This window comes from Homo sapiens, chromosome 7 (assembly GCF_000001405.40).
Source record: "Homo sapiens chromosome 7, GRCh38.p14 Primary Assembly".
Lineage (NCBI taxonomy): Eukaryota > Metazoa > Chordata > Mammalia > Primates > Hominidae > Homo > Homo sapiens.
Window position 1 is genome coordinate 69,004,021 of NC_000007.14, and position 14,686 is coordinate 69,018,706.

The window sequence follows — 14,686 nt, forward strand, 5'->3', positions numbered from 1 at the left end:
TGTAGTCCCAGCTACTCTACTCGGGAGGCTGAGGCAGGAGAATGGCATGAACCTGGGAGGCGGAGCTTGCAGTGAGCCGAGATCAGGTCACTGCCCTCTAGCCTGGGTGACAGAGTGAGACTCCGTCTCCAAAAAAAAAAACAAACAAACAAAAAACCATTTTATCCAACAGTTTAAAATAAATACTTTTTTTTTGTAAATTTAATAAATACTTTAAATTTATTTGGCAAATTGATCATATAGTGACTCACCTGACAGCAAATTGATTTATGGAAAACTGACCTAGAACTGGAACTCAGACCCCAGATTTCCAGTCCAATTTACTTTCTTTGAAATATTTCTCAGTATTTTATTGTAAACCAAGTATGTCTTTCATAGGATGGTTACATTTGGTTTCTCTTCTCTCTTTATTTTTGGCAACTTTTTTTTTCCAAAAATTTTGAAAAAAAATTGCACTCTCCCAATTTTTTGCAAACTTGCTTTCTTTTTAAAAATGCAATGTATTTAAGATGTTAATGGCCTCATTTTAATTTGCATATATTCTTGTTAACGATGAAATCTACTTAATGTGAGTTGAAACTAAAAGCTTGTCAGGGTAATTCACAAACATTTAAAAACTCTGTGGCAATTCTAGGAGGATTCCCTGTGAATATTCTTAAGGACTTTCAATGGATATATTAAGTAGGCCTTGGTATTAACAGAAATAGCAAACAAATTAAAATTGGACTCTCGGTAACAATTGGGAGAAATGAATATTCACACACTTCAGCATGAAATTGAATCTAGTTGTCCTGGTGCCTCTTGCTCATTCAAGGAGAACATGTTTATTGAAGAACCATCATGTTAAGTGTCACTTAAGACTAGTATGGAGTCACCTGGCTTCAGTACATTTCTTTCAGAAATGCGCAAGAGGACAACATCAATCAAATTTAAAATAATTCAGCAAGGCGTGGTGGCTCACGCCTGTAATCCCAGCACTTTGGGAGGCCAAGGCAGGCAGATCACCTGAGGTCAGGAGTTCGAAACTAGCCTGGCCAACATGGTGAAACCCCATCTCTACTAAAAACACAAAAAAATTAGCTAAGTGTGGTGGCGTGCACTGTAATCCCAGCTACTCGGAGGCTGAGGCAAGAGAATCGCTTGAACCCGGGAGGCGGAGGTTGCAGCGAGCCAAGATCGCACCACTGTACTCCAGCCTGGGCAACAGAGCAGGACTTTGTCTCAAAATAAAATAAAATAATGCAACCCTCATTTGCCATTGATGTTAACCAGCAATCTCTATTTGGAGTATGCAGCACATTTTCATGTGGGCAACATAACTTACAGGAATATACATTTTATTATAATTCCAGCCCCAGAGACATCTCAAAATCCATTCTCAGGCCTTTGAGACTGTCCTGATGATCTATGAGTAATGTCTAAATGATCCCCCATTTCCACAGTAGATTACAACTTCAAGAACAGTGCCCATTGCTGTAAGGATGAATCCCTCTTCAGGTTTAATCTCTTTGAGAATTCAGTTTGTAGCAAAAGAAAAATACTTTCTTATGTATTTATACATTAAAAAATAAGGCTTAAAGTGGAGCTTTAATATGTGATCCCATTTAATCTTAACAATCTTTGGCAGTAGGTATCATCATCTCCACTCAGAGATAAGGGATCTGAAAGCTCAGAGAGGAAAAGTGATGTTTCTAAGTCCACACAGCTAATGAAAGGGAGACAGGCATTACATTCGTCTCCAGGCTGTAAGACAATAATCAATAAGTTAAAGCAACAAACATACATCACTCATCATATACAGAGACTCTTCCTGATTGGAATTTCTGTGGGGAAAATGGGAGCTACACTGACTGACACTGATTTGACACCTCATCTATTACCTGAGTCATTTCAAATACTCCCTAATATGTCACCTTCCCTAAACCATTCTATTCACCCCTTGGTGCCACATCAATCTCTATGAAATGCTCATGTCACCTCCCTGCTTAAAATCCCTTAAAAGAATCCCAGTCATCCTTAAGAATAAAGTCAGTTTTCCCAACAAGACGTCCAAAGCCATTTGCAGTCTACCCCCAGCCTCTCACCCTTCCTACTCCTAAACCCCCTAGAGTTCTGCCAGGTCTGGTTTCCTCTACCTGAGATGGTCTTTCACCCAAGGCCAACTCACAGTTGTTTCTGCAAAGCACCCAAGGCCAACCCACAACACCCAAGGCCGACTCACAGTTCTATCTGTGAAGCTTTCCCAGATATCCCTCATGGTCTCAGGCAGAATGTGTCCTCCCCTTCCTGAGTGACCATCTGTTACAGCACAGTCACATTGCTTTATAACGAGGTCTGTTGCCCATCTCTCTAACAGCACCCTGAGTTTCCAAGTAAATAAATCAATAATTTAATTCATTTTTAGCATGTATGAGTATGCTCTCTTCCGACCAACCCATAACCCACTTGTTTCTTGGTATGCTAGAACAGAGATCAATAAACTACACTCCATGTGCCAAATCTGGCCTGATGCCCGTTTTTGCAAAGTATTTTGTGTTGGAACACAGCCATGCTTACCTGTTTACATATTGTCTACGGCTGCTTTGCACCACAAGCCCAGAATTGGATAATTGCAACAGAAACTACAGAGCCTGAAAAACTGAATGTATTTATGATCTAGGTCTTTACAGAAAAAGTTTACCAATGCCCATGATGGAAATAAGGTCAAGAATTAAAGTCAACGTGTAGCACTCTTGAGTGGAGGAAAATAAAGACACAATGGGATACTGGGGACTTGAGTTCTAATCTACATTCTGGGACAGGTTTACCCTTTCATATTGGATAAATCATTTCCCCTATCTGGATCTCAGTTTCCCCATCTGTAAGGTAAGAAAGTTAGATGAGACCAGCGGTTTTCAAACTTTGTTTTGTTTTGTTTTGTTTTGTTTTTAGCCCAGGACTTTTTCCCCAAAAGTAGACTATGGCAAACTCTATGCGTAAAGCAGATAAAGAAAGAGCTATTCTGATAAGGGATGGGTGGGAGGTGTATTAATCTGTTCTTATGCTGCTAATAAAGACATACCCAAGACTGGGCAATTTATAAAGCAAAAGGGTTTAATAGACTCAGAGTTTCATATGGCTGGGGAGACCTCACAATCATGGCTGAAGGCGAATTAGGAGCAAAGTCACGTCTTACATGACAGCAGGCAAGAGAGCTTGTGCAGGGGAATTCCCCTTTATCAAACTATCGGATCTCATGAGACTTATTCACTATCATGAGAACGGCACAGGAAAAACCCGTCCCCATGATTCAATTACCTCCTGCTGGGTCCCTCCCAGGACATGTGGGAATTATAGAAGCTACAATGCAAGATGAGATTTGGGTGGGGACACGGCCAAACCATATCAAGAGGCAAGCGCCCTGCCCCACCATCTCTCACCCTTTTCCTTGCCACACAGGGGATCTTGGAGGAGTCCCTTAGATTCCCTGACAGTTTCAAGTATAAAAGCCGTTGATCTAACCCCTCCCTGTAGTCCCTTCCACAGCATGGTCCACGATTCTGTCTAAAGCACCATGTAAACTTCCAAGATTCAAAACCATCCAAAATCAAATCCCTCTTTTAGAATTGTTTTTTCATACCAGCTGAGACCAATCGACCTGGAAAAAATTAAATATTATCAGACATTTCCTCCATGTATTCACAGGAGAGCCTAAAGTACAGCAGAAGGTTGCTGGAATGAACTGGCGCTTTCTGTGGTCTATCCTGGGAGTTTTAAAACACAAAAACAGAGTGTCAGCTTCTGGGAGATGTACAACATGAGGGACTGTCACTCCAGTGACGGAGTACTCCTGGGAACAGTGCTGCTTCAAAAGGCATCAGGCAGGTAATGATATTGTGAGTTATTTGTTGCCAGACCAGGGAATATTTTGAGTGACTCAGGAGTGCTTTGGGGCAGCATCAAAGAAGATTTGGGTCCCTAGGTGGGAGGCTTCCAAAAAAAGACAGCTGGTCAGAGGTCCTCAGCGTTTTGTACTCTGGGCCAGGAGTCATGGCCTTTGGATAGTCTTCCCTCTGACACCCTGTGTACCTGTGACTAGTTCCCTGGGTTCTCTGGGGCCTGGTTTTCTAGTCAGTAAAATGATTAGGTTGTACTAGATAATGAATGAGCACTTACTATGTGTCAGGCTCTGTGCCTAGGGGCTTTGCAGACAATAAGTCAGTTGATACTTACACACTCTACACATAGAGTCTCCATTTTATGAAAAATGTAGATGCTAAGTCTCAGAGACATTGAGTTACTTACCCAGAATCACACAGCTAGTTAATAGGATGGCAAGGCTTTAAACTAGCTGTAGAAAGAGTCTTCCAAAATGATTAAGGTATGGCTCTTTATTTTATTTTATTTTATTATTATTTTTTGAAACAGAGTCTCACTCTGTTGCCCAGGCTGGAGTGCAGTGACTGCGATCTCGGCTCACTGCAAGCTCCATCTCCTGGGTTCATGCCATTCTCCTGCCTCAGCCTCCCGAGCAGCTGGGACTATAGGTGCCTGCCACCATGCCCAGCTAATTTTTTTTTATTTTTAGTAGAGACAGGGTTTCACCATATTAGCAAGGATAGTCTCAATCTCCTGACCTCCTGATCTGCCCATCTCAGCCTCCCAAAGTGAGTTATGGCTCTTAAGTGAAATAGCTTCTGTTTAAATCTTGGTTCTGCCACTGATAGGGTATGACAGCAGTCTATTTGTTTCAATGCTTTGAGTTCAATTTCTTTATCTATAAAATGGGTATGATGGCACTGCCTCTACTCACTTCATAGAGTTGTTTGCAATCTACCCCCCTCATAGATGAGAGAGTTTTCGTAAAACACCTGGTAGATTCTAAGTCATAATTAAGGGTAACTATTATTCTCAACTGGCTAAATCCAAAACCCATGTTATTAGCCACTCTGTAAAAACCAGGCTTTCCCCCGACCTTTACTGTGCTAGAATTCCTGTCAATGTCAATGATGACCTATGTCAGACCAAAGCCAGTGGTTGTTTTTTGTTTGTTTGTTTGTTTTCTTTTTTCGTCTTTATCACATCCCTTAATCCGTCAGTAGCATTTAACAGTGCTGAGCACCTCTCCTTGAAATATTTTCTTCTCCAAGCTTTGGGACACCACATTTTCCTTGTTTTCTCCTCTGTTCCTTTGCTAGGTTCTCCTCCTTCCCTAGACTCCTAAAAGTAGGCAATCCCAAGGTTCTATTCTCATGCCCTTCTCTTCCCCATCAATACTCTTTTCTTACATCATATGTGTGGTCTTACAACTTCCAATGAACTAGCAACTCTCAAATTTTTTTCCCCACGTTTAACTTGCCTCTGAGCTTCAGATGTCCTAATGTAAAAACATGAAGGACTCAAAGGTTTTTCAAATGTAACACACCCCAGACAGAATGACTGGCTCCCTCTCTATGCATATTGCTCTCTTCTTTCCAAGTCTTGTCCATAAATATCACAACCATTTACCCAGTTACTCAGGCCACAAACCTAGGTGTCATCTCTTATTTCACACTCCATTTCAAATTCGTTAATAAGTTATTTCTTCTCTGTGCTTCTTTTTTTTTTTTTAAGACAGGGTCTCAATCTATTGCCCAGGCTGGAGTGCAATGGCATGATCATAGCTTACTGCAGCCTCGAACTCCCAGGCTCAAGTGATTCTCCTGAGTAGCTGGAACTACAGGTATGTGCCATCATGACTGCCTAATTATTTTATATTTTTGCAGAGATGGGGACTCGTCTTGTTGCCCAGGCTGCTCTCAAATTCGTGGGCTCAAGCAATCCTCCCACCTAGGCCTCCCAAAGTGCTGGGATTTACAGGCATGAGCCATCACACTCAGCCTGTAAAATATATATTGACTCTAAAATATGTATTGACCCTGACATTTTTCACCATGCTCACTGCTACAAGCCTAGTTCAAGTCACTATCCCCTACTGCCTGGATGACTCTAGCAGTCTATTCCCAACCCAGCTGTGCCTACTTTTAAGTATTTAAGTACAATTTTGTTTGTTTCCAAAAAGTGTACTGGATTTTAACCCTAAGTTTCTTTAAGGGCTCAAGAACTCTTGAATCAATACAGTCAAGCTGCCGCTTTCTTTTTCTTTTTCTTTTTCTTTTTTTTTTTCTTTTTTTTTTGAGATGGAGCCTCACTCTGTTGCCCAGGATGGAGTGCAGTGACGCGATCTTGGTTCACCACAACCTCGGCCCCCCTGATTCAAGCGATTCTCCTGCCTCAGCCTTTCTAGTATCTGGGACTACAGGCGCAAGACACCATGCCAGACTAATTTTTGTATTTTTAGTAGAGACAGGGTTTCACTATGTTGGCCAGGCTGGTCTCAAACTCCTGACCTCATGATCCACCCACCTCAGCCTCCCAAAGTGCTGGGATTACAGGCGTGAGCCACCGTGCCCGGCCACTTTATTTTTCTATATTAAGAATGGAACAAGTCATGGATGAGGTCATATTTTTCTCAAACTAGAGGAGAATTTGAGTTCAGCTGCAATTCTATCTACCTCTTCCTCACTCTGCCTTAACTGCCTGACCCTAATGAACCAAGTTACATGTTGAGCTTTCCTAGACTTGTTGGCATTTGGCTGGTCCAAAATGATGCAATCATGATAGGCCATGATAGAGGTTGTGGCCCAGAAAAAAATATGAGTGAATTGTATTTGAGCAAAAACTAAGCCAAGACAAAGAAATGGACCCAAGTGGAAGCTAAGCCAACAAAACATCATGTCCAATGAGGTACGACAAACTCAATTATTTTTATTTTTTATTTTTTTTAAGACAGAGTCTTGCTTTGTCGCCCAGGCTGGAGTGCAATGGTGCAATCTCAACTTACTGCAGCCTCTGCCTCCCGGGTTCAAGCAATTCTCAGGCCCCAGGCTCTGGAGTAGCTGGGACTGCAGGTGCATGCCACCACACCCGGCTAATTTTTATATTTGTTATTACAGACAGGGTTTCACTATGTTGGCCAGGCTGGTCTCGAACTCCTGGCCTCAAGTGATTCACCGGCCTCCTAAGGTGCTGGGATTACAGGCATGAGCCACTGCTCCCAGCTAACAAACTCAATTCTAAACTAGGAGTATATGAAGAACCAGGGGTCCTATCAGAAAGACTGGGAGCACGATTCTGGACTTTCAGCAGGTAGTGATTCTCTGTGTTGATGCTCATTCAATAGATATGTTTAGGATTTACTGTGGTTCTTTTGAAATGAAACTGTGAACTTAAAATATCTGAGACAGGTCTCAACCAATTTAAAAAGTTCATTTTGCCAAAGTTAAGGACATATCCATGACAGAGCCTCAGGAGCTCCTGGTGACATGTGCCCAAGGTGGTCGGGGTACAATGTGCTTGTATACATTTTAGGGAGACATGAGACATCAATAAATATGTGTAAGATGTATATTTGTTCAGTATGGTAAAGCAAGACAACTTGAATTGGGAGCTTCCAGGTCATAGGTAGATAAGAGAAAAAAAGTTGCATTCTTTTGAGTCCTTGATCAGCCTTTCACTGAATACACACCATTTAGTCTGGCTCAGTGAATCTGCATTTTTACATAAACAATAAGACAGAGGAAGCAATCAGATACTTGCTTGTCTCAGGTGAGCAGAGGGATGACTTTCTGTTCTGCTCGTGTGAAGATAAGCTATTCGTTTACATTGCCAGGATGAAATTCAACAGTACTGTTTTAGGGTCAAGATCTTGAGGGTCCCAAGGAATTTCCTTGTGGGAAAACTATGAGGGAGGCATGTAGCTCTTCTATCCTTTTAGTTATCTTATTTAGGAATTAAAATGGGAGTCAGGTTTGCCTGATGTAGTTCCCACCTTGACTTTTCCCTCATCTTAGTGATTTAGGGGTCCTGAGATTTGTTTTCCTTTCAAAAAACCGTTTTCATCTCTAGTTGAAACAAGAGCATGCATATTGCAGAATCAAGCCATATCAGGCTGAAAGAAGACTAAGTGTCAAACCACATCAAAGATCTCATTTTGAGGCCCAGATCTCCAGTTGATCTGTCAATTATTTTTTAATACATTTCATAAAAACGTAGCCAAACCCGTGCAATGACTGTTGCAAAAGCTAACTGGTTTAAATTTCTTTATTTTTGTCTGCAATTGCATCAATTCACTTATATATCACTGATCGCATTGAGATCCCTTACTCTATTTCTGAGATTAACAAAAATAAAAGGCAAATATTTGTGTATGTTACAGCATAATTTTCAAAAATGTTAAGTCACAATTCATGCAAATATAAAAGTAAACACTTGTCAACAATTTTTTTCTATTCACTAATTGTTGAGGGCACCAGTAAGATGTTAAAACTGGTTCAAAGAACATTTATGGAACCAAGTATTTATAGGTAACTTAATAAAGCACTGTTAGGATAAAAACTTCTGGACTAGATACAAAACCTTCTAATGTCCAGTAGAGCAATAAACTGTAAACTTCAGAGTTACATATTCCATTGGACAGAAATTATTTACATCTCCACTGGATAAAAATCTATAAAAGTTATATAACTTCACTAAAGCTGGGAAATTTAATCAATTTTGAACAGTGAGTTAACAAGATAAAGGCTTCTAAACTTGAATGTGCCTGTGTTTCTGAAGGACAGTAAAAGAGCGTGTCATCCCTCTTTTGCCTATTTCAAAATTTTGGATAATTCACCAGTTTCTTTACCACACTTCTGGAATCATAATTAATCTACCATAAAGTCTGGTATCAGTGTGTTTGTCCTGATTATGTAGATATGTGTAAAAAAGTGTTTATTAACTATGCTTGCCTCATTAATTTTGCTCTGAAAATTGACAGTCCTACAATATTGAGCAAGTTCTGTGTGGACATTTTCATAAAGAATCTTGGATTGGACTTTTGAAAGCCTGTGTCATTTGCTCTTCCATCCTAAGGCTAGGAAACCAAGCACAAAACACTCTCCTCTAGATTTTACTTGGTGGTGTATGTACCTATATATAGGAATGAATTCTCCTTTTCTTGAGGTCCCCCCAATTTACAAAGGTCTCTGGCCTAGAAGTAGGTGGGCTTCTCTACCAACTCTGACACTGGAATACTGCAAGCCAGATACCAAGCTAGTTTCCTTAGGAGGAATTTGTAGGCATTAGCTTCACATAAATGGTCAGAATTTTATTAGTCAGGATTCTCCAGAAAAACAGAACCAATAGGATATATTATGAGGAATCGGCTCACATGATTAAGGAGGCTGAGAAAGCCCACCATTTGCCATCTGCAAACCGGAGACCAGGGAAAACATAGTGGTCTAATTCAAGCTGAGCTCAAAGCCCTGAGAACTAGGGGAGCTGATGGTGTAAATCCCAGCAGGCAGAAGAATACCAATGTCCAAGTTCAAGCAGGCAGGCAGGAGCATAAGGGGCAAATTCCTTTCTCCACATTTTATTCTATTTAGGCCCTCAAAGAATGGCATGATGTCTACCCACACTGGGGAGGGACATTAGTTTAATGCATCCACAGACCCAAATGTTAATCTCTTCTGGAAATACCTTTCCAGACACATCTAGAAATAATGTTTAATCTGGGCACTGCCTGGGACAGTCGCGTTGACACAAAAAATTAACCTGTACAGTAATTTTCCTTAATAGTGGGTTGATCATACTTAGGTATTAAATGAGAAATCTTCTCTAGTATAATACTTCAGGTATGGCCTTAATTGCACAATGTACTTGTCCAATTATATTTTGGTTAAAAAAAAGAGAGCAGATTCTTATGAACCCATGAAAACTATATTGCCATAAAAAAATAAGGAGGCAGTCAAAATATCTTTGAATTCTGGAGGAACCGATGAGAATCAGGTACCATTAAAAGTTGCACTACAGTTTTTTGGTTTTGTTTTTTTTTTTTTTTTGAGATGGAGTCTTGCTCTGTCACCTAGGCTACGGTGCAGTGGCACAATCTCAGCTCACTGCAACCTCCGCCTCCTAGATTCAAGAGATTCTCATGCCTCAGCCTCCTGAGTAGCTGGGATTACAGGTGCCCGTCACTGTGCTTGGCTAATTTTTGTATTTTTAGTAGAGATGTGGTTTCACCATCTTAGCCAGACTGGTCTCAAACTCCTGACCTCATGATTCACCTTCCTCGGCCTCCCAAAGTGCTGGGATTACAGGCATGAGCCACCGTGCCTGGCCTCACTACAGTTTAAAAGTAGAAGCTACTAAGTTGAGGGTTAGAGAAGAAGAAAGGGAGAAGGCTTCTCTTATTTTCTGTGTCCATAAAAATACAGAGCATTAAAAAAGAGTAACAATATTACAAATGATATAGTTTGGATATTTGTTGCCTTCAAGTCTCATATTGAAAGTTGATCGCCAATGTTGAAGGTGGTGCCTGAAGGATGGTGTTTTGGTCCTGGGGGTAGATCTCTCATGAATGAGTCGGTGCCATCCTCAAGGTAATGAGTGAGTTCTCACTCTATTAGCTCCCTCAAGAGCTGATTGTTGAAAAGAGCCTGGCACCTCTTCCACTCTCTCTCTTGCTTCCTTCCTCTCACCATGTGATGTCAGCTCCCCTCTGTCTCCTGCCTTGATTGGATTCTTCCTGGAGTCCTCACCACAAGCACATGCTGGCGCCATGCTTCTTGTATAGCCTGCAGAACTGTGGGTAAAATAAACCTCTTTTCTTTATAAATTACCCAGCCTCAGGAATCTCTTTATTACAACACAAATGGACTAAGACACCAACAAATAACCAGAAGTAACTGTCCCTCATCAGTCAATTCAGTCCTACATAATTAATTCTCATTCTGCTGGGTTTGGGGAGCCATCTGATTTCATGATGTAGACTAAAAAGAATTATTGAAATGCTGACTCTGTCTACTGATGCAATTTGAAAGTTGTTTAAGCTCTGTCAGCTCAGAAGCCTGTACCCAAGAATTTATTCTTAGACATAGCAATAGTTTAGGGTAGTTGGTACTGATGGGATTATAGGAAACATTACCCTAAAATATGACACTTTGGCATACTGAGTATTGTATGCTGAAGGAAAGATCACTCTGACCTTCTCTTTTTCTGACCTTCTCCCACCTTTCTCCCCTGAGGCCATAAAAAGAATTCTCTGACCTACCTCCCCTGAAAGTCAGTCATAAGAACTTTATTCCTGAGGAGTCTTACTCTATTCTCAGTAAGGATGGGATGTCATAAAGTGACACAGAAAAGAATCTAAACAAACAGGCCTTGCTAAGTTCCCTTCCCCCCCCCACCAAGTTTACTACCATTAAATCATACACCTTTTTGTCTAATCATGTTTCTCCACAGTCACATGCTTCTTTCATCATCCTTAACATAAAAAATACAGTTTTCGCTGTATAGGTATCTATAGGTCTTTATTTCTGAAGGCTCCCGGGTCATGTAAGACATATGAAATAAATTTGTTATGCTTTTCTCTTATTAATCTGTCTTTTGTTATAGGAGTGTCAGCCACGAAGGCTGAGATTGGTGAGAAAAAGGTATTACTTTTCCTACCTTACAGTGCCATCCTTTTCCAAGAGGATCTGAGGCTGACCTTCCTGTTGTAGATGAATTCTAGCCTGTAGGACCTTCAGGCTAACATCAGAAGAAACCAGAAACATATTTTATTATGAAACGGAATGTCTGTGGTTCATTTGTAAAATAATCAATAATATCAGAATGGAGAAGAAAATTTTATATTGGAGTAGAGTGCATGACTACTTCATCAGAGTTTGATCACTGTTCCCCTTGAGGGTAAAAACCTATTATACTAACCTGTGGATAGTATGGCAATGACCAGTCTCCAGAGGCATTTCTGGAACATGTACAATTTCTGAAATATTGAAATTAATAACATTTCAACTATAGAAGCCTAACCTAGGAAAAGCTGAACATCTCTTTTGCTTTGACGATTTTTCCCGTGAAGCTATTATAATAATGCTGGGTTAATTTGGAGACATGAAGAAAAATGAAAGAAAAAAACTAGTTGTTTCTGGCATATGTATTTTTATAAGGTGAAACAGCAAATCTTTATGATATTCAGGGGACCTCTTGAAAATCTAAAATACTGTTTTCGGTGTATGAAATATTCTCAAAAAGTTGTTTTATTTTTCTTAATTTAGCATCCAATCTTGGGCAAAATCAAAAGAGTTATCAAAGGAGATTTGGTCACCTGATTAACAGAGAATCATGAATGCCTGAGGAAAACTAATTTGGTTGTGTATTTCATCAAAGTGACAATAAAATATTACAAAATGTTTTAAAGGCAACATGATTGTAAGAAATCTGTTGTTTACCGTGAAGATCTTTTGTTCTTTGTTGTTATTTTTAAATAATCAAAGATGTGATAAAGTCAACATAAAGACCAGAAAATTATTTTAGTGAGACACAGACCCTACTCTCTAGGTGAGAAGAGCTGTAAACACAATTTATCATTTTAACAGAGAGAAAGCCAAATTCGAGTTATGAGTTAAAATAACTGTTAGTAAAAAAGGTTTTGTGAGATTTTTTCTCTTTTTTTTACGTAATCTTGTGAAAAAGTCCATCAAATCCAGCAAACTTTGCCAAAATGTTAACACATTTTGTATCTTCTTTGCAGACTCTGGTGTTATGAACCCAAACGAATAAGTTTCATTTCCTTCAAAGCCTCTGTATCCTGTTGTACGTACTCGCTAAGCCCTTGTATTTTGGAACAAATACATTTCAGGACAAATCAACTCTATTTTTCTTGAAAAACAAAACCTAATCCCATCATCTTGCATATGTTCTTGTATTTCTTCATCACTATAGCTCCTCATATATCTTTAAAAACCAATATTATTTTATTGAGGTATAATTTACATATGGTTAAATTCACCCATTTTTAGTGTACGGTCCTGGAGTTTTGGCACATGCATTCAATCTGGTAACCACCACCACAATGAAGGCATAAAACATTCTTTAGACTACAACTTCAAAATCCCTTAATTCAGCGGTCCCCAACTTTTTTGGCACCAGGAACCAGTTTGTGGAAGACAATTTTTCCACAAACCACGAGTTGGGGGATGGTTTTGGGACAATTCAAGTGCATTCCATTTATTGTGCACTTTAGTTCTATTATTGTTACATTGTAATATATAAAGAAATAATTATACAACTCACCGTCATGTAGAATTAGTGGGACCCCAGAGCTTGTTTTCCTGCAAATGGACCGTCCCATCTGGGGGTGATGGGAGACAGTGACATATCATCAGGCATTAGATTCTCATAAGGAGTGTGCAACCTAGATCCCTCATATGCACAGTTCACAATAGGGTTCATGGTTCTAAGAGAATCTAATGCGGCCACTGATCTGACAGGAGGTGGAGCTCAGGCAGTAATGTGAGTGATGGAGTGCCGCTGTAAATACAGATGAACCTTCACTCTCTCCTGCTGTTCATCTCCTGCTGTGCAGCCAGCCCAGTTGCTAGTAGGCCACAGACCAATACCAGTCCATAGCCTTAGAGTTGGGGACCCCTCCCCTAATTCCCTTTTTTCAATCAACTCTTTAGCCCACTCCCAGCCCTTGCAACCACTGATCTGTTTTCTATCCTGTATTGGTCTGTTCTTGTGTTACTATAAAGGAATGCCTGAGACTGGGTAACTTATAAAGAAAGGGAGTTTATTTGGCTCACAGTTCTGCAGGCTGCAGGCCATACAGAAAGCATGATGCTGGCATCTGGAAGCTACAATCATGGCAGAAGGGAAGGAGAACTGGTGTACCACTTGGGAGAGCAGGAGCAAGAGAGAGGGGAAGTGCCACACACACTTTTAAACAACCAGATCTCACCAGAACTCACTCACTGTCATGAGGACAGCACCGAGGCATCCGTGAGGGATCTACCCCCATGACCCAAACATCTCTCACCAGGTCCCACTTCCAACACTAGAGATTACATTTCATCATAAGATTTGGAGGGAACACACATCCAAATGATATCATTCTGCCCCTGGCCCCTCACATCTCGTGTTCTTCTTTCATTATAAAATACAATCATCCCTTCTCAATAGCTCCCCAAAGTCTTAACTTGTTCCAGCCCCAACTCAAAAGTCCCAAGTCCAAAGTCTCATCATCACAGACTCAAGGCAAGTTCCTTCTCCTTGTGAGTCTGTATTTACTCTTATGTTATAATGAGTTATTTACGCCTAAGACACAAATAGTAGTGCAGGCATTGAGTAAAACATTACCATTCCAAAAGAAAGAAACTGGCCAAAAGGAAAGGGGCAATAAGCCCCATGCAAGTCTGAAACCCAGCAGGGCAGTCGTTCAATCTTAAACCTCAAAAATAATCTCCTTTGACTCCAGGTCTTGCATCCAGGGCAGTGGTGCAAGCAGTTAGCTCCCAAGACCTTGGGCAGCTCCGCCCTGTGGCTTTGCTGAGTATAGCCCCTGTGGCTGCTGTCGTGGGTTGAAGCTGAGTGCCTGCAGCTTTTCCAGTTGCAAGGTGCAAGCTGCTGCTGGGTCTGCTATTCTGAGGTCTGGAGGGCAGCAGGTCCCTTCCCACAGCTCCACTAGGCAGTGCCCCAGTGAGAATTCTATATGGGGCTCCAACACCACATTTTCCCTTGGCACTACCAGAATAAAGGTTCTCTGTGAGGACTCCACCTCTGCAGCAGGCTTCTGCCTCAGCACCTAGGCTTTTCCATAAACCCTCGGAAATCTAGGTGGAAG